Source organism: Homo sapiens, chromosome 6 (genome assembly GCF_000001405.40).
Source record: "Homo sapiens chromosome 6, GRCh38.p14 Primary Assembly".
Lineage (NCBI taxonomy): Eukaryota > Metazoa > Chordata > Mammalia > Primates > Hominidae > Homo > Homo sapiens.
The window spans coordinates 25,368,814-25,389,675 of NC_000006.12; the positions used below are offsets into that span (position 1 = coordinate 25,368,814).

At 40.4% G+C, this 20,862-nt stretch overlaps 1 protein-coding gene, 1 long non-coding RNA gene and 1 pseudogene across 22 annotated transcripts in view; 2 read left to right on the forward strand and 1 right to left on the reverse strand.

The window, feature by feature from the left end:
* CARMIL1 (capping protein regulator and myosin 1 linker 1) overlaps positions 1–20,862 on the forward strand; it is a 341,157-nt gene that overhangs the window by 89,440 nt on the left and 230,855 nt on the right. The gene's annotated exons all lie outside the window — the stretch shown is intronic.
* Positions 1–20,862, reverse strand: part of LOC124901281 (uncharacterized) — a 124,485-nt gene that overhangs the window by 41,108 nt on the left and 62,515 nt on the right. Inside the window, exon 2 of one of the 2 annotated variants that reach the window (XR_007059512.1) lies at positions 1,133–1,266. This is a non-coding gene — a long non-coding RNA (uncharacterized LOC124901281). Of the gene's footprint in view, positions 1–551; positions 1,267–20,862 lie in introns of those variants that run through there. The other variant, XR_007059511.1, reaches the window with a different exon arrangement.
* RNU6-987P (RNA, U6 small nuclear 987, pseudogene) lies at positions 14,786–14,889 on the forward strand (annotated as a pseudogene).

Genomic DNA, 20,862 nt, shown 5'->3' on the forward strand with positions numbered 1-20,862 from the left:
TATATTCTTCCTTGTCCCAGACTCATGTTTTTTGAGTAAAATCTTTAATTGGTCAAAATGTGTTGTATTGATCAGTATGTTATATAGAATGATGTACTTATTGATTTACTGTAAATAATTACAGTGGAGCAATTCTGTTAGGAGGGTTCGTTTTTGCCATTTTAGCAAGGAAAATTTGCCAGTTATTTTGGCTGAATTTAAAACCCCTTACATGATTAGATCACATGTCTATTTCTGCTGTAATAGAGGAGTGTAAGTAACTAAGTTTATCTGAACTTTTAGGAGTCTCCTTTTAGGCTCAAATTAGTTAGTCTGGTGTCTATACAGGGCCTTTGTTAAAGACTGGATTTAAATATTGGGTGGATCTGTCTTGGATCCTGTTCTAGGGAACGCTTCTTGGAAGTCCCAGACGGGGAACTCATCATAACCTGGTTTTACCCCGTAGCATGGCCCTGTGCCATCGACACCATTAGAGCAAGGCTCAGTGTCTCGAGCTTTAGTTTAATTCTCAACCCATTGATCGCTCTTGCAGTCAGCTTAACAGTTGAATGCAATGCTGTATTTTGTTTTTTTTTTTTTTTTTTAAAGCTAGTCCAGAAATTACCACAGCTGCTTCTCAGTTAATCAGATGCTTAAGACTCCCGTTTCCACATTGCTTGGCTGCTACATTTTTATAACACCACAGCTGTCTGGATCTAGCTTGTGCCCCTCGCCCCCCTTACCCCTTTCCATCTGCCACCTCTCACCACTTCCTCACTTGCTATGTATCGAGGTGGCAAATTCCCAAGTAAACTGCTGACTTTCCTCCCCTGCAGGAAGGCTGGGCCTTTGGTTCACAGTAGCCTCTTTCACCAGAACTCTCGTAGGCTAGGAACCAACCCTGGAGTACTGCTGCTCTCAGAAGTGCCCACATTTGCCTCTGGAGCTTGCTTTGTGTGTTTGGGTGTTGAATTTTCCCCTTGACTTGGAAACTTTTGTGAAGAAACTGAAAGGTGCTTTCAGATTAAGCAGCTGTGGCTCCCCCTTCCAGCCACGCTCTTTGTTTTTAAAGCTCAAAGTCTTATTTGAAGTGAGGAGAGAAGGTAGGTAGGTTGCAGTCCAGGTTTTTCTGTTTGTGAATGACGTTGCTTACCTTGGCTGATTCCTTTTCCTAATGACGGTGCTTCTACTCTTGGCCTTTTGCCATGTGTGTACCATCCACTGGGAGCTGTTTTCCCTTGTCCTTTAAAGCGTATCCGACTCTATCTCCAGTGCTCTTCTAGCAAGCTGTTACAGTAAGCATAAAAACAAGCGCATTAAACTAGGAATAAAATGCCAAGTTTCTGTCTCCTTGCCAACCTCATTAGAAAACAGTGATAAAGTATGTATGCATATAATTACAGTAATTAAACATTTGAAACCAGCTCAATAGGGAACCTTCTTAATGCTTTTATGAGTGTGATATTTTCATTTCAGAACTGGACTCTGTGTGGCTTCTATTTTATTCAAGACCTTCATCTTTATGGGGGTAGGCGGGGGAAGGTGCTCCTTTTGACCACAGCGCCAAGCATCTGCAAGAGTAGCTTTATTACACATGTATTAGCAGGGAACAGAGCAACCTTTCCATCACTGTGTTTATTTTTGAGGGTGTGTAGCCAGTTGTCAAATATAAAGACATGAATGGCCTGGCTAGTAAAGAAGACGTGGAAAATAATTGTAAACTGTCTGCCATGATGTGCTTGCTCTTAAGAGCAAAGGACAGGAATATTTTGTCTTTTGTACTGCCCCGACGGAGTCATACAGCCCCTGCATTTGTGTGGGATGATAGAGTAGCACTATGGGGTTTGTCTGCCTCGTAGCTCTTCCACCCTGAGAGCTATTCTCACTTAGGAAGTGGAAAGTCTAAAGGACCAACTGTAGGTTGAACCAGGAGTTTCATTCACTAAACATATTTTTTTTTTAGTTGATATATATATATGTAAAATTTCAATAGCTTTTGAGGTACAAATGGTTTTTGGTTACACGGACAAATTGTATAGTGGTGAAGTCTGCGATTTTAGTGCACCCATCATCTGTGTATATTGTACCCAATATGTAGCTTTTTTTTATCCCTCATCTCTCTCCTCCCCTCCCCTCTTCTGAGTCACCAAAGTTCGCTAAATGACTCTGTATGCTTTTGTGTACCCATAGTTTAGCTCCCACTTATAAGTGAGAACATACGGTATTTGGTTTTCCATTCCTGAGTTACTTCACGTAGAATAATGGCCTCCAGCTCCATCCAAATTGCTGTGAAAGATATTTCATTCTGTTTTATGTCTGAGTAGTATTCCATAGTGTATATAGACCACATTTTCTTTATCCATTCATCAGTTGATGGGCACTTAGGTTGGTTCTGTATCTTTGCAATTGTGAATGGTGCTGTGATGTGTGCACGTGTCTTTTTGATAGAATTACCTCTTTTCCTTTTAGTAGTTGCCCAGTAGTGAGATTGCTGGATGGAATGGTATCTTTACTTTCAGTTCTTTAAGGAATCTTCATGCTGTTTTCCATAGAGGTTGTACTAATTTACATTCCCACCAGCAGTGTATAAGTAAGTGTTCTCTTTTTACCACATCCATGCCAACATCTATTGTATTTTACCTTTTTAGTAATGGCCATTCTGGCTGGGGTAAGGTGGTATCTTGTTGTGGTTTTAATTTGCATTTCCCTGATGATCAGTGATGTTGAACATTGTTTTGTATATTTGTTGGCCATTTGTATATCTTCTTTTGAGAAATGTCTATTCATGTCATTTGCCCACTTTTTGATGGGATTATTTGGTTTGTTTTCTTGCTAATTTATTTGAGTTACTTGTAGATTGTGGGTATTAGTTCTTTGTAGGATGCATAGTTTGCAAATATTTTCTCCTACTCTGTGGGTCATCTGTTTACTCTGATGGTGATTTGCTGTGCAGAAGCTTTTTAGTTTAATTAGGTTCTATTTATTTATTTTTGTTTTTCTTGCATTTGCTTTTGGGGTCTTAGTCATAAATTCTTTACCTAGACCAATGTCCAGAAGTTTTTCCTAGGTTGTCTACTGTAATTGGTTTCAGCTCTTAGATGTAAGTCTTTGATCCATCTTGAGTTGATTTTTGTATATGGTGAGAGATAGGGATCCAGTTTCATTCTTATACATGTGGCTATCCAGTTTTTTCAGCACCATTTGTTGAATATGGTGTCCTTTCTCCAATTTATGTTTTTGTATACTTTGTCAAAGATCAATTGTGGTTGTAAGTATTTGGTTTTATTACTGTGTTCTCTGTTCTGTTACATTGGTCTATGTATCTACTTTTATACCTATACCGTGCTGTTTTGGTAACTATAACCTTGTAGTATAATTTGAAGTTAGGTAATGTGATGCCTTCATGTTTGTTCTTTTTGCTTAGGATTGTTTTGGCTATTCAGGTTCTTTTTGGTTCCATATGAATTTTTTTTTCTAATTCTGTGAAAAATGATGTTAGTATTTTGATAGAAGTTGCATTGAATCTCTAGATTGCTTTGGGTAGTATGGCCATTTTCATGAAATTGATTCTTCCAATTCATGAGGATGGGATATTTTTTCCATTTGTTTGTATTATCTTTGATTTCCTTCAGCAGTGTTTTGTCGTTCTTGAAGAGATTTTTCACCTCCTTGTTAAGTATATTTCTAGGTAATTTATTTTATTTTTGCTGTTATTATAAAAGGGATTGAGTTCTTGATTTGATTCTGAATTTGATTGTTGTTGGTGTATGGCAGTACTACTGATTTGTGTACATTGATTTTGTAACCTGAGACTTCACTGAGTTCATTTATCAAATCTAGGAGTCTTTTGGAGGAGTCTTTAGGGTTTTCTAGGTATATAATCATACCACTGGCAAACAGAGATAGTGTAATTTACTCTTTTCCAATTTGGATACCCTTTATTTTTCTCTCTTGCCTGATTGCTCTGACTAGGGCTCCTGGTGCTATGTTGAATAGAAGTAGTGAAAGTGGGCATCCTTGTCTTGTTCCAGTTCTGAAGGGCAATGGTTTCAACTTTTCCCCTTCAGTATGATGTTGGCTGTGAGTCTGTCATACATGGCTTTTATTATTTTGAACTATATTCCTTCTATCCCTAGTTTGTTGAGAATTTTTATCATAAAGGGATGCTGGATTTTATCGAATGCTTTTTCTGCATCTATTAAGATGATCAATAGATTTTTGTGTTTTTAAAAAATTCTGTTTATATGATGTTTCACATTTATTGACTTGCATTTGTTAAATCATCCCTACATCCTGGATGAAACCCACTTGATCATGGTGAATTATCTTTTTGATGTGCTGTTGGATTCAGTTTGCTAGTATTTTGTTGAGGATTTTTACATCTTTGTTGATTCAAGGGTATTGTTCTGTAGTTTTCTTTGTCTTTTTTTTTTCTGTTATATCCTTTCCTGGTTTTGGTATCAGGGTGATATTGGTGTCATAGAATAAGTTATAGAGGATGCCCTCTTTCTCAACCTTTTGGAATAGTTTCAGCAGATTGGTACCAATTTTTCTTTGAATGTCTGGTACAATTCAGCTGTGAATCTATCTGGCCTTCGGCTTTTTTTTTTTTTTTTTGGTCTGTTCAGGATTTCTATTTCTTCCTGATTCAAGCTAGGAAGATTGTATGTTTCCAGGAATTTGTCCATTTCCTGTAGATTTTCTAGTTTGTTTGCATGGAGGTGTTCATAGCAGTCTTGAATGATCTTTTGTATTTCTTTTGGTTATAATGTCTCAATTTTCATCTCTCTCTCTCTCTTTTTTTTTTTTTTGACAGAGTCTCGCTTTATCACCAGGCTGAAGTGCAGTGGTGCGATCATGGCTCACTGCAACCTCCACCTCCCTGGTTCAAGCGATTCTCCTGCCTCAGCCTTCCGAGTAGCTGGGATTACAGGCATGCGCCACTATGCCTGGCTAATTTTTTTGTATTTTTAGTAGACGTGGGGTTTCACCATGTTGGCCAGAATGGTCTCGATCTCCTGACCTCGTGATCCGTCTGCCTCAGCCTCCCAAATGCTGGGATTACAGGCCTGAGCCACTGTGCCCGGCCTCCATTTTCATTTCTAATTGAGCTTACTTGAATCTTTTCCTGGTTAATCTAGCTAATCATCTATCGATTTTGTTTATCTTTTCAAAAAACCAAGCTTTCGTTTCCTTGATGTATTTTTTGTTTGTTTGTTTCAGTTTCATTTAGTTCTGCTCTAATGAAAAGGTCTTTGTTATTTCTTTCATTCTGCTAGCTTTGGGTTTGGTTTGTTCTTGTTTCTCTAGCTCCTTGAGGTATGATGTTAGATTGTAAGTTTGTGATCTTTCATACTTTTTGATGTAGGCATTTAGTGCTATAAACTTAACTCATAGCACTGCTCTTGCTGTATCCCAGAGGTTTTGATGATGTGTATCACTATTATTCATTTTGAAATATTTCTTAATATCCATCTTGATTTCATTGTTCACCTAAAAGTCATACAGGAGTAGGTTAATTTCTATGTATTTGTATAGTTTTGGGAATTCCTTTTGGAGATGATTTCTAGTTTTATTCCACTGTGGTCTGAGAAGATACTTGGTATGATTTTGATTTTTTAAAATTTATCAAGGCTTGTTTTGTGGCCTATCATATGATGTGTCTTGGAGAATGGTCCATGTTCTGATGAGAAGAACGTATATTTTGCAGTTCTTGGGTGGGATATTCTGTGACTATATTAGGTCCATTTGTTCTAGAGTATAGTTTAAGGTTGATGTTTCTTAGTTGACTTTCTTCCTTGATGATCTGTGTGGTGCTGTTAGAGGAGTATTGAAGTCTGCACTATTATTGTGTTGCTATTTCTTTTCTTAGGTCGTGTAGTAATTGTTTTATGAATCTGGAGTTCAAGACTTAGGTGCATGTATATCTAGGATTGTAATATCATCTTGTTCGATTGATCCTTTTATTATTATATAATGGCATTTTTTGTCTTTTTTTACTGTTGTTGTTTTAAAGTCTGTTTTATCTGATGTAGGCATAGCTTTTCCTGCTCACTTTTGGTTCTCATTTACATGGAATATCTTTTTCCACCACTTTACCTGGAGTCTATAAGAATCCTTTCATGTTAGGTGATTCTCTTGAAGACAGCAGATATTCGATTTGTAACTTTTTATCCATTCTGCCAAAGTATATCTTTTAAATGGAGTATTTAATCTCAAGATGCAAGGTACTGTTCAGTTATGTTGATTGTTACATAGGTACTTAGTTTTCTTCATTGTATTATTGTTGATAAGTCCTATAAGTTTTATGCTTTCTAGAGGTTCTATTCTGGTGCATATCAACCTTTTGATTCAAGATTAATAACTCCTTTTAGTATTTCTTGTAGGGTTGGTCTGGTAGTGACACATTCCCTCAGCATTTGCTTCTCTGAAAAAGACTCCTTCATTTGTAACACTTAGTCTTGCTGGATAAAAAATGATTGGCTGACAGTTATTCTGTTTGAAGAGGCTAAAGATAGGACTCCAATCCCTTCTGGCTTGTAAGGTTTCTGCGGAGAAGTCTGCTGTTAGTCTGGTATGTTTTCCCCTGTAGGTTACCTGATACTTTTGTCTCACTACTCTTAGAATTCTTTCCTTCATGTTTACTTTAGATAGCCTGATGACTGTATGCCTTGATGGTGTCCTTTTTGCAGTGAATCTCCCAGGAATTATTTATGCTTCTTGCATTTGGTTACCTAAATCTCCAGCAAGGCCAGGGAAATTTTTCTCACCTATTTTCTCAAATAAGTTTCCCAAATTTTTTGCTTTCTCTTCTCCTTCAGTAACACCATTGATTCTAAGGCTTGACTGTTTTACATAATCTCATATTTCTTGGAGACTTTGTTCATTTCTTTTAATTCTTCTTTATTTTTGTCTGGGTTAATTTGAAAGGCTTATCTTCAAGCTCTGAAATTCTTTTTTCTACTTGTTCTAGTCTAGCGTTAAAACTTTCTACTATATTTTGCAATTTCCTAAGTGTATCTTTAATTTCCAGAAGTTCGGATTGGTTTTTCTTCAGAATATCTGTCTCTTTAGAAAATTTTTTGTTCATACTGTGAATTGTTTTTTCAATTTCTTTATGCTGATTTTTACCTCTGTCTTGTATTTCCTTGAACAGCTTTAATAGTCCACCTTTTGAATTCTTTATCTGGTATTTCAAAGATTTCATCTTGGTTTGGATCCATTGCAGAAGAGCTAGTGTGATCTTTTGGGGTTGTTATAGAACCCCGTTTTGTCATATTGCCAGAATTATTATTATTATTTTTTGAGATGGAGTTTTGTTCTTGTCACCCAGGCTGGAGTGCAATGGCACGATCTTGGCTCACTGCAACCTCTGCCTCCTGGGTTCAAGGGATTCTGCTGCCTCAGCCTTGCGAGTAGCTGGGCTTACGGTGCCCACCACCATGCCCAGCTAATTTTTGTATTTTTAATAGAGATGGGGTTTCACCATGTTGGCCAGGCTGATCTCGAACTTCCTACCTCAGGTGATCTGTCTGCCTCAGCCTCCCAAAGTGCTGGGATTATAGGCATGAGCCACCGTATCTGGCTGCCAGAATTATTTTTCTAGTTCCCTCTAATTTGGGTAGGCTATTCTAATTATTCTTGAATTTATTTTTGATTTGACTTAAAAATTTTTTTTCTCCCTTGAGGATGTGACTTTATCGTTTATTGTAGGCTAATTCAGCTCTTGGTGCTTTCAGGGATGAAGACTGTGTATGACTTCCTTGGTTATAGAGAGTCTTTGTATGACAGCTTTCTTAGATGCTGGTTGTAGTAGCATAGTGCTTGGTTTGTGAGCAGGTTCATTGTCTCCTGTGGGATTGGAATTGCGAGGTCTCTTAAAGCTTATCTCATTGCACTTTTTAATTAATTAATTTTTTTCTGCAGTATTTTATTTACTGAGTTGAACAGCTTAGGCTTCAGGCCAGTAGGAGAGATGTCCATGGGTAAAAATCAGTTGTGGCTAAAGCAGGTTGGTAAATGCAATACTCAGTGGTGGGCAGAGGTCCCAGCCTTGATAGAAGCAGCTGGGGCAGCTCTCAGTGAAATGCACTGAGGTCTTTTCAAGGGAAAGGGAAGAAGCCACCTCAGCTTCCCTGCTAGGCCAGCAGGAAAGTGATCCACCTTCCAATTACACTCCTGACCCAGAGTTCCAGCTATTCTGATCAGGCACCTCTTTTCATCTGCAGGAATGTTGATGTTCAACATAGAAAGGGATTGTGACTGTACCCCTCATCCAAGCTTGAACCTAGGGGACATGCATTCTCTGTGGATGCAGTTACCCTGAAGTATTCCAGAAAGGCTGTCTACAGGTGCATCCATGCTGAGCTCCCATGGGGGAAGCCTCAGCTATGTCGATAGTGGATGAAGAGGAGAAGAAATCACCTTCTCCAAGACCCTTCATGGGCACCAGGGCTGACTGGCTGTTGGGGTAGAGCCACAGACGTTTTCTGCTGAGCCAAGCATTGCAACTGTGCCTCTGCTAAAAGAAACTTCCCAGAAATGGGAAGTTCTGGGACTTAAGGCCTGCCATCTTGTGTTTTTTGTTTCATGGAGTGCTCCCTTGATGTCATGTACTTCTTCTTCCCTTAGGAGTAGAAATCCCTGAAGTCCAGACTACTGTGAATGCAACTCTTATCTGGGTCTAGCTGCCTAGTGGGGCTGCCACACTCCAGGGTGGTGCTGGGGGATGTCTCCAAGGAATCCAGTGATGTGACCTGTCCTCAAGTATCCCAGCAGTGGGTACCAGCACCAGTTCTGATGGGGATGGCAGGGGAGTGCTGTGAGATTCCTTGGTCATGAAAAGCCTTAGTGTGTTGGTTTTCTCAAGTACTGGTTGTAGTAGTAGATGAACTGGTCACATGGACAGACTCAGGATCTCTTGGTTAGCCAGGGTGTTGCAGGCAATAGTGATTGCTGAGGTCACACATGACTTTTCTCCTTCCTGCATGTTGTCTTCTTCTGCCTGAAGATGCTAATCTCCTATGTCAGTTGGCCTCCAACCAGAAGGTGGTGCTTGCAAAAGAGTACCAGCTGTGGTGGTGGTAGGATTTATGCTTTGCCTTATGTACCCAGGGGAAGTACTCTGGTGTCTCAGGCAATTGGTGGGGCTATAGAGCTCCGAAAAGTTTCTGTTCTTTTTATTAAGCTACCAGGGTAGGATTGAGGGGCAAAGCCAGGTGAGGGCTGGGTCAGGCAAGTCTGTGCTCTAGCTCTCCATATGTGGGCAAAAGTAGAGGTCCCAGTGGGGATCAGAAGGCAGTTTTCTGACTGCTGGGGTATATTGAAGGAAAAAGCACAGCTGCTTCTGCTGCACCAAAGAGTCTGCATGGAGAATGGGGAGTAGCAGGTAGCAGCAAGCCCTACGCAGCTTTCATGCACTTGGCAAGGCAAATCTCATAGCCACAGTGTACCACTAGCAGCAGCTAGCTGGGTTTCAGACAGTTGACACTCAGAACTCAAAACTGCCCCAGGCCATTAGCCTTTGCATGGCCTTCAGGCCACATTTCTCTTGGTCTCCCTACACAGCAGGGGCACCCCTGTGCTCTCTTATGGCTGCAGCACACTTCCCACTTGCCCCTCAGTTCTGGCCAAGGGAGCTTGTTCCCACTCATATCGTGAATCTCAGTTGAGCTTCTCTCAACCTGTGATTGCTGTCTGAGTTAGCTGGCTGACTTCCACAAGGTCCCCTGTGAGGTAGGATCAGCAGTGGCTTCCCTCTGTCCTTGCTGGAGACTGGGAGTGCACTGAAAGCATGTCCAGTGCTACTCCTTCTCATATACTCCCCACGGCTCACTGAATCAGCTTTAGTGCTGGGTAGGGTTGAGGGCTTCCCTTGTGGCCTGGATTGCCAGGTTCCCCAGTAGGAGTGCATATCCTAGAGGTAGTTTATCCTCCTCTCACACTCTAGGGACTTAGAGTTTTCCATCTGCCTCGTAGTAAGTTTCTGGGTTTTTTCCTGAAAAAAAAATTCACAGTGTGAATCTCTCCACACTATTTTGTCTTTCCAAGTGGTAGAGGCATGCTCACAGTGCCTCCAATCCACTCTCTTGGGGATTAAAAAAAAAAAAACAGGTGTTATTGGGTACCTTTGGGGTGAGAGTTAGTGTACAATTTAGGGACACTATTCTTGGAACCAGACAGACCTTGGTCAGACTCCTGGCTCAGTCATTTTCTGGTTGTATGGACCACAGCAAATTTAAAACTTTAAATCTCGGTTTTCTCATCTGTAAAACTAAAATAATGGTGGTCACACATACCCATAAGATTATTTTGAGACTTAAATAAGATAATGCATACAAAGCATTTAGCACAAAGTTTGACTCAGTAGGTGCTATTTGGTGTTCATGCCATTATTAGCTTTGTATTAAAGAGGTATATATTGTCCTATCTTCTAGGAGCTTACAGTCCAGTAGGGCCATAAGATACATATTGAGGAAAGAAAGGGGGATGTCAGCCTGCTGTGATGTGTTGGGAGAGACTTTCTTGAGGAGTTGGGATTGGGGCCACTGTGTTGTACAATGCCAGGGAACACCATTTACATCATCTTTGAGAATGGGTCCCTCTGGAGTAGTACAGTTGCACTGCTTGGAATTTTGAATGTGACCATGAAGGATGTGTAGAATTTGGATAGATGGAAGAAGGAGGGGTTTGGGTTTGGTAGGAAAAAACAAGATTCTTTCAGAGGATGGTGAGACCTCTCAGCTGGCCAGAGAGCTTTTTGCATTGAGCAGAGGTAGTCAGGCTGTGTGTCTTGAGGTGGCTCCAGGGCTTTGCTTCTTTCTGATCACTAAAAGGTGGATGGAATGAACCTTCTGGTGAAATGGGTACAGGTCAGGGTGAAATGCCTTTGATCTCTTCACATTGCCTTCCTTGAGTCTCCTCAGGGGCCGGGATTGCTATATTTCCAAAAGGGCACTTTTCTGTGAATAGCCTTTTAGCCTGGTTAAGTAAACCAAAAGGCTCACTTGCTTTTTCTGCCATTTCTTTTTCTTTAACATTACTTGTAACTCATTTTGTTAAATACCACATTTACTCAATATGTGAAGTGATCAAGATGTTGTATGTGTGACCCTGTACCCTGGTTCTACTTTGTATAGCCTTACATTTCTTTTGAACTTCTTTATGCACTTTTTTTCTTTCCTTTTCTTACCTCCATGGAATTTATTCTGCTCTTTAAGGACTCTCAAAGGCATAGTAGATCATGGCATAAATTAGGTGGCAAGAAAGGATTTTCTTTATCATTAGGCTTCTATTCTTCTAAAGCTGTGTCTTTGGGAGATTTTAATTGTGAGGATGTAAATAAAGCCATATGGACCAAAAGTGAATAGCATATTTAATTATCTTGTAAATAACTTTAGCTTAGTAAATCTCCGACGTTATTTTAAAAACACAGTATTTTATTGGGTATTTAGTATTATATGATACTCTAAAGCAGAAGTCACCAAACTTTTACTCTAAAGGGCCAGATAGCAAATATTTTAGGCTTGCAGGCCGATTCTCTGTTGTAGATACTCAGTTCTGCCATGGTAGTGTGAAAGCAGCCATAGAAAGTATACAAACTGATGGAGGTGGTTATTTTGCATTAAAACTTTATTTAAAGCAATAGACAGTGGGTCAGATTTGGCTCTCTGGAGTGGTTTGCTGACCCTTGCCGTCAAGGAAATAGAAAGAGATTTTGTTGGGTTGGGAAGGTAAATGGAAAATTACAGGAATTACAAAATTTCCAGATAATGAACTCTACAAAAAACTAAAAAAAACTTATACCTCCTATTGTTTGAATTAGATTTCATGTTTGATATGAATTTGTAAATAAATCCCAAATATCTTTATTGATAGTTCTTCCTTTTTAAAATCTAAGGACTTGGTTCACAACAGGCCTGTCTTTATTAATCAACCATTTATTGTTTTCTTTGCACCAGGCACTGTGTAGGTCATTGGAAATTTACAAATAACTTAGACACGCATTTTTCCTTTAAGGAGCCACAGTCTAGACTGTGTACTCTTTTTTGCCAGATGTGGACTCATGCCTTGGACCACATGAAATATTTGCTCTAAAGTAGCAAGAAACCTGCATTGGAAAAGGGACTTTTTGAGGGTACACCTATCTTTTTTTCTCTTTCTACTATATGTGTGTTAGGACTGCTATATTTTCGTTTCTCTTTATTGTTGTATTGTTAGAGAAAGTCTGCTAGAATTTATAAATGGTGAGAATATTTTGATAACTTAGTTGCCAAAATTCCTAGTCTTGATTCCAGAGGTTGTGTTTTCCTGCCCTTTAAAATTTTCACTTAGTCACCTTAATTCAGTTTTTGAATTTCTTTGAGTTCTGCCTATCAAATTATAAACAAGCACCACCAAATTGCAGAAGGTTATCTCTTAATAGTATTGAAATAGGCAGTTATAAAAAATTGTGTCACCTAAGTCTAACAGCTCTTCTAGAATGTTTTCCTTTAGACCTAAGCCATTCTGGCCCTTGCACATTGGGTGGGTCTGTGATCTGTTTCTACTCACAACACTTCTGACACAAATGGCTGGATTTTTTCCACACCAACAACCAATTCTTCGACTCTGACACTACCCAGAGTTAGCACAGACCCCACAGATTATGGGCTTAGACCCACAAGACTCTTCTCCACTTTAGATGCCAGTTGTAAGTCCAGGTCTCCTATACTTCTGACCAAGAGATGATAAATCTTGAGTTTCTATGAGCCCCACTCTTTGGGTTCAGTAATTCTCTATAAAGGCTCACAGAACTCACGAAGTCACTTTACTTCCTATTACTGGTTTGTTATAGAAGTTACAACCCAGGAACAGCCAAATGGAAGACATGCACAGGACAAGGTATAGAGGAAGGGCATTGCCCTCTCTAGATGCCCACCCTCCTAGCACCTTTGTGTGTTCACCAATCCAGAAGCTCTTTGAACTCTTTAACTTAGAGGTTTTATGGCGTTTCCATTACATAGTCATGGTTGACTACATCACTGGTCATTGGTGATTAGTTCAATCTCCATCCCTTCTTCCCTCCCCAGAAATGGGGCAGGGGCTGAAAGTTCATTCCTCAAATTTCGTGGTTGGTTCCCCTGGCAACCACCAGCCCTCATCCTGAAGCTCTCTAGGGGCCCACCAAGAGTCATCACATTTGCCTAAACTCAAGTATGATTGAAAATGGGCTATAATAATGAACAAGAGACACTCTTCTCATTCCTATTGCCCAGGAGATTCCAAAGGTTTTAGAAACTCTGTGCTAGGAACTGGGAATGAAGAACTTATTTTTATTTTTTTAAGACAGAGTCTCACTCTGTCACCCAGGCTGGAGTGCAGTGGCTCAATCTCAGCTCATTGCAACCTCCGCCTTTCTGGTTAAAGCGATTCTCATGCCTCAGTCTCCTGAGTAGCTGGGATTACAGGTGTACGTCACCACGTCTGGCTAATTTTTGTATTTTTAGTAGAGATGGGGTTTCATCATGTTGGCCAGGCTGGTCTTAAACTCCTGACTCCAGTTGTGTCCGGAGTTGGTTCCTTCCAGTGGGTTCTTGGTCTCACTGACTTCAAGAATGAAGCCGCGGACCTTTGCGGTGAGTGTTACAGCTCTTAAAGGTGGCACGGAGCCAAAGAGTGAGCAGCAGCAAGATTTATTGTGAAGAGCGAAAGAACAAAGCTTCCACAGTGTGGAAGGGGACCCGAGTGGGTTGCTGCTGTTGGCTGGGGGTGGCCAGCTTTTATTCCCTTATTTGTCCCCGCCTATGTCCTGCTGATTGGTACATTTTACAGAGTGCTGATTGGTGCATTTACAATCCTTTAGACACAGAGTGCTGATTGGTGCGTTTTTACAGAGTGCTGATTGGTGCATTTACAATCCTTTGGCAAGACACAGGGCGCTCATTGGTGCATTTTTACAGAGTGCTGATTGATGCATTTACAATCCTTTAGCTAGACACAGGGCGCTGATTGGTGCGTTTACAATTCTCTACCTAGACAGAAAAGTTCTCCAAGTCCCCACTCGACCCAGGAAGTTCAGCTGGCTTCACCTCTCACAAGTGATCTGCCTGCCTGGGCCTCCCAAAGTGCTGGGATTACAGGCATGAGCCACAATGCCTGGCCTTATATTTCTTATTATATCATAAAATCACAGTGGAGTTGGATGGGGGTGAGGGAGGGCAGTCTGTGAAAGAGAGAGGTTCTGAAGTCCAAATGAGGGCAGAATGTGGACTTCTCTGGCCCTGAGGAGTGGGTTGGGTTGAGTACTATGGGGTGATTTGATTGGACAGGTTCTGATGAGTCTGGTAGTGGGTACCTCAGGAGCCATGAGGACATTTAAATGTCACAGTGTCACAGAAAACATAGAAGATTGTTCCCTAACTTGGGTAGTGGCATGAGAAAGTGGGTCTGTTGTTGGGAATAAGGTAGGCTCGGATGGTGGTTTTTGAGGGTGCCAAGAAATGTCTTTATAAGGTTTCAAATGTACATAGATGTAGAAGGAAGAATGGTGCCATTCTAAAGTTTTTTTGAAGTGAAAAACAAAAATAATATATTTTAAAGATACAAATAATTTCCATAAACATATAACAATCCATAGAGAAGAGGGTAATGTCCTTCTGGTGACATTAATTGAAATACTTTATGCCAGATTGGACAAAATCTATGTTTAAATTACTGGTATTAGTATTTTGGTATTTTCCCTTTAGTAAGATAATCTTGATAACCTTGATTTGCTTTTTGTGTCCTGATTACCTTGACATTAATATCTTGAAATAGAAAAACTGTGGTTCTTGCTTTGGTAGTACATATACTAAAACTAGAACAATAAAGACATTAACATGGCCCCTGTCGAAGGATGACATGCAAATTTGTGAAATGTTTCATATTTTTTAAAACAAAATTATGGCTTGTATATTTTTAAAACTTTGTATTATGCAAAACTTCTTGAGAACAAATAATTATGGGAACTTTTAAATACATGCAAAAATAGAATAGGATAATAAACTTCCCATCTACATTTTATTTATTTATTTATTTAATTTTTGAGGTGGAGTCTCGCTCTGTCGCCCAGGCTAGAGTGCAGTGGTGTGATCTTGGCTCACTGCAACCTCCACCTCCTGGGTTCAAGCAATTCTCCCTGCCTCAGCCTCCTGAGTAGCTGGGATTACAGGCATTTGCCACCATCCCCGGGTAATTTTTGTATTTTTAGTAGACATGGGGTTTCACATGTTTGCCAGGCAGGTCTCGAACTCCTGACCTCAAGCGCTCCGCCCACCTTGGCCTCCTAAAGTGCTGGGATTACAGGCGTGAGCCACCGCGCCCGGCTGGTTTTTAAGACATGAAATTTCAGAATGTTTGTTTTCAAGAAAGAAAGCCCAATTGCCTCAATGCTTTATTTGAGGACAGAGCCTGAGGCACAGGAGAATAGCACGGTGGGACATTACTGGCACCATTGCCAACACAGCTCACACGCAGCAACAGCACGTTTTGTTGGTTTTGCCAGCGTTGATGCTCAGATCCCTCTGTGGCCACCAATAGCCAGCACCTGTGTCAAAGGTGGCTGCCTCAATTAAGACACAAACCAAAAATTCTAATTATATAGTAGTTTCTGTAGTATCAGCCACGTGTACAATAGGTACTCAGGTGTCATTTGCTTTTTCTTCTACCACAAGAGTGGCCTTGGACTCGTGTGTCCGTTGGGTGATGGTTGAGGTTGCTCTGAGCCAGTCCCCTCCCCTGGTCCACTCAGTGGAAGCTGTGTATGCCCACATGGCACTGTATGGACACCAGTTTGTGTTTTTTTAACAAACATTGCTATTTTTAGATTTGCTTTCAGAATGCGACCTATGGGGCAGAGGACCCAGAAATATATAGCTTCTACCTCATTGCCTCGTTCTCAGGGATATCCAAGCCTCACTGCCTTGAGAAATTAAGAGACAGTTCCAGCAGGTACTGTCTTACTTGATGACTATAAATTCTATAATCATTGCTAATAATAGAGTGTTTTGTTCAAGCCGCTTAAATTTGTTTATTTTTTCCTCTCGGCAAGCCTAACATCATCATCCTCAAAAGCATGGTTGCCTGTGAATTTCCTTTTGGATAGATGTAACACTATTTAATTTCGCCCATCCATTCATCTATCCAAGCATCCAGCAAACATTTATCGAGTACCTATTATGTGCTGAGTACTCTTTTAGATGCTGGAGGGACAATGATTAATAAGATAATCTTTCTTTACAGAGTTCACATTCGGTGAGAGAGGAAAGTTGGACATTAAAACAGATAGTAATGTGGTGAGCTAAGTGCAGCTATAAAGTTATGTACAACTTATCAGGAGAACCGTTATCTAAGGCATCCAGTTCACAGAAGGGAGGAGGGAACACCATGTAGGCAAGGGGAATTTCACTATTATTGCCATATATCCAAGGCCAAGAGTGGTGAGAGAATGGGCTGGAGATGTAACAAAGGTGCTCTGTGACAGAGTTTGAACTTCAGTTTGCTGGTGAGGTGTGGGGAAGTCTATGAACGGGATTCGAACAGTTGAGTGGCATGATTATATTTGTGTTCTAGAAGAATCCCTCTGGTGGCTCTGTGCAATGTGGTTTTCAGGGAGTGAGGACTGGAGACAGAGTAGATAAGTGAGAATGCTGAGGGGCCTAATGATTCGTTCATGCATTTCATTTAGTAAACATTTATTGAGCACTTACTATGGACCATGCCCTGTTATAGTCATTTGGAATTTATTTTCACATAGATAAACAGAAGAGATAAATAGTAGTAGCTTTTTTGGGATAAATAGATACCAAATAAATCACAGTGTTCGCTTTGATCATGACAAACTTTTGAATACATGTTTTCTAGAGTTATATATTGATTTGGTGGTATTTTTATTTTGGATTTGGATCAGTCAGCACTAACATAAAAAATGGCCTCTTTCATGGTGCAAATTAGTAAGGCTTCACTTTCAGCTCTTGAATTTTTCCAAGACTCATTATTCCAGTCTGTAGATTATTCTGAGCCTTAGACTCTCATTTTCTGCTCATTAGCACCTCAAAGAATGGAGAGGAAGGAAGAGAGAGAAACTTCAGTCTGACTTGCTACTTGTTAGAAGATTTGGTAAAGAAGGTGATGAAATTAATATTTAGTTTTCAAAATCAGGTTACAGATTGTTTTTGGGCTTGTTCTTGCCTGCAGTTCTTGCTTTCTCTCAACCATAGCTAACTTGCTGTCTGGATACATCCGAGTGTATTTGCCTCATGCACAATGAAGGGTAGGATTAACCTTGGAAATTTGCTGTGGGCAAATAGCCCAAGAATTAATACATTTAATAATACATTTAATTATTTTACCAATCACACTGGTTATTTGCAGTGTCAAAGCAGTTACCTTGGTATGATATAAGGACATGGAATTAATTTTGTTGTTTATAATCTTTGTGTGTGTGTGGGGTGGGTGGTGAGGACGGAATCTTGCTCTGTCGCCCAGGCTGGAGTGCAGAGGCTCAATCTTGGCTCACTGCAACCTCCACCTCACAGATTCAAGTGATCCTCCTGCCTCAGCCTTCCAGGTAGCTGGGATTACAGGTGTCTGCCACCACACCTGGCTAACTTTTTGTGTTTTTAGTAGAGATGGGGTTTCACCATGTTGGTGAAACTGCTGACCTCAAGTGATCCACCTACCTCAGCCTCCCAAAGTGCTGGGATTACAGGCCTGAGCCACCATGCCTGGCTTGTTGTTTGTAATCTGATATCTTGCTACTTGAACTTTGTTAGTATGGTTTAGGAGTAGGAACTTTAAAATGAAAACGAACACCGCCCAGGACGTTGAAGAAATAACTGTACCCACTTCATAGGGTTGTCAGGAGGGTTAAATGAGTTAATATAAGCAAAGACTAAGGTCCAGCACATAGTAAATGTCATATAAACACTGGTCATTTTTATTGATTTTACTTTGAAAGTCAATTAGAATTTGCATGAAAGTAACAAGCAATAGGTGAAAATCATGATAGTACTAGATAATACAAGACATCATGAGGCCGGCTGTGGTGGCTCATGCCTGTAATCCTAGCACTTTGGGAGGCTGAGGTGGGCGTATCACCTGAGGTCAGGAGTTCAAGACCAGCCTGGCCAACAACATGGTGAAACCCCATCTCCACAAAAATACAAAAATTAGCCAGGCATGATGGCCGGTGCCTGTAATCTCAGCTACTTAGGAGCCTGAGGCGGGAGAATCGTTTGAACCTGCGAGGCCGAGATCGCACCATTGCACTCCAGCCTGGGTGACAGAGTGAGACTCTGTCTCCAAAAAAAAAAAAAAAAAAATCACAACAGACTAGATAACACTCTATGATGTCACCTTTTACTTCACTAAGAACACATTTAATGTACAGACTATATGCATTTTTAAATGCTCTGGTTCAAGGAAAGTTAAAAGTGTTTATAGTTATAGGTCTACATTTGAGAAATACTTGTTATGAACTGAGGAACAGGCAAATCCAGCATTTGGGCCACAACTTTTCTTTGATAGTTCCCCAGATAATAGGCTGAAGAGCATATGCAGAGATATAAAAGTCAATGAATAAGTGAATAGCTGAATCTGTTGAACACTATGCTCACAGTTTCTAGTTCAAGACAAATGAAACATTAACATAAGTTGTTCTGAATTTTCTAAGTGAAGAATTCTACCCTTCTTTAAGTTAAAAGATTTATAACCTTTTCAATAGCAGTATATATTCTGCAATTCAGCAGCTTTTCTTTCTGTGATTTTGAAGACCATCTTTTGAAGATGCAGAATTTAGAATTCCTACTTGGGGGCATTTCTTCAATTCAGTGAGCCATTCATGAGATTCAACCAATGGAAACATTAAACACAATGAGTGTGAGGAACTGAAAGTGCTTTGTTTTTTGGTTGCAGTGACTTCTAATTGAAGCAAACCAGCTATACATGTGGATGGTCATGACTTTATAATTACAATTAAAATATTTTCAGTAGAAGACTGAGGCCTCAGGGAAAGCATCGTATGAAATAGAGAATAATCACCAGATGCAACTATGGGCCCCTTTTCCGAGTGGGTAATGATTTCTTTGCCTCTAGCTGTGAGTTGGCAAATGGACTCTGTCATTTTGGGTATCTGTTGGAAGAAAGAAAAGGAAGGAACAGAACGATGAGAGAAACAGTTCATAAGAAAAAAAGAGAAAAAGATCTTGAGCAGATAGGCAAGTAGAAGTAAAAATCCTCACTGTTTGAGGCCTCCAGACCTTGTTGAACCATGTTACTATTGTAGCATTACACCTGCAATGTGTCTGCAGGTGTTCTGGATGTTTTGAAACTCATTTGATGTAGAAGCGTTTCTTGATGTCAAGTTATGTTGGATTTGGCATCATTATTCTCTCTACAACAGTAGAGTAAAGGCTGGAGAGTATTGAAAGGCTAATTTTTTTTGGTGATGTCTGCCTTAGTTAAAATAGCTACTATTAGGTGATAGAAATGAAGGTATTTAGCACACACAACAGTTTTATTATGTTTTGTCTTTTAGATGTGGATTTCTCTACTTTTTTTGTTTTGTTTTGTTTGAGATGAAGTCTCGCTCTGTCGCCCAGGCTGGAGTGCAGTGGAGCGATCTCAGCTCACTGCAACCTCCGCCTCCCGGGTTCAAGCAATTCTGCCTCAGCCTCCTGAGTAGCTGGGATTACAGGCAGGCGCCACCATGCCTGGCTAATTTTTCTGTATTTTTAGTAGAGACGGGGTTTCACCATGTTGGCCAGGCTGGTCTCAAACTCCTGACCTTGTGATCCACCTGCCTTGGCCTCCCAAAGTGCTGGGATTACAGGCATAAGCCACCGCACCTGGCCTTTTTTTATTTTATTTTATTTTAAGAGACAGGGTGTTGCTCTGTCATCTAGGCTGGAGTGCAATGGCATGATCATAGCTCACTGCAGCCTGCAACTCCTGGGCTCAAACAATCCTTTCACCCCAGCCTCTCAAAGTGTAGCAGCTGGGACTATAGGCACAGACCACCACACCCAGCACATTTTTACAATTTTTTTGTAACAAAAAAGGGAGGCTTCTTTTTGTTGCCCAGGCTGGTCTTGAATTCATGGCCTCAAGCGATCTTCCTGTGTCGGCCTCCAAAAGTGCTGAGATTACAGACATGAGCCACCACACCTGGCCTCTACTTAACAGGCACTACCAAGAAAGTAGGAATGACTGCCCTAAGGGGAATTAGCTTTTACTCCTTACTGATGGGGATTTCCTGCCTCCACTACTAGAGAAACCCACATTTCCATGTTTTACGTTCAGTACTCACCAAACATTTCCAAGTGCCTGGCACTGTGCTTGTCTCATCCACAGATGCTCTGCCAGTAGAAAATGGAATGGTTTTAATTGAGAAGACATGAGGAGGACTTCTATTTCTTAATTGGAGTCTATAAGCAAACTTCAAAAGAATCTTTCAGCTTCTCATTGGTTTAAAAATTATGACACTGTCTATTATATGTTTTGCATAACTTTAAATCTTCTTTTAGTCATATTGTATTGTTTTCTTTTTTGAGATTTGGGGGGGTCTTGCTGTGTTGCCCAGGCTGCCCTTGAACTCCTGGACTCAAGCTATCCTCCTGCCTCAGCCTCCCAAGAAGCTGGGGATACAGGCATGTGGCATAGTCAAATTGTTTTGCAAAAGTGTTAGCTGCTTGAGATTTTAGGCAGATTGGAAGGTGTCGATCACTTCTTTTCTCCAAAGTGTAAAATGGAATAATTGCTGGAATTGGATGTCAGTTTGTTTTTATTCTAGACACTATGAAACATGACTAATGATGCCAGGAATACTTGAGTCAGCATGTGAAAAGGAAAAAGCAATGAGTTGTT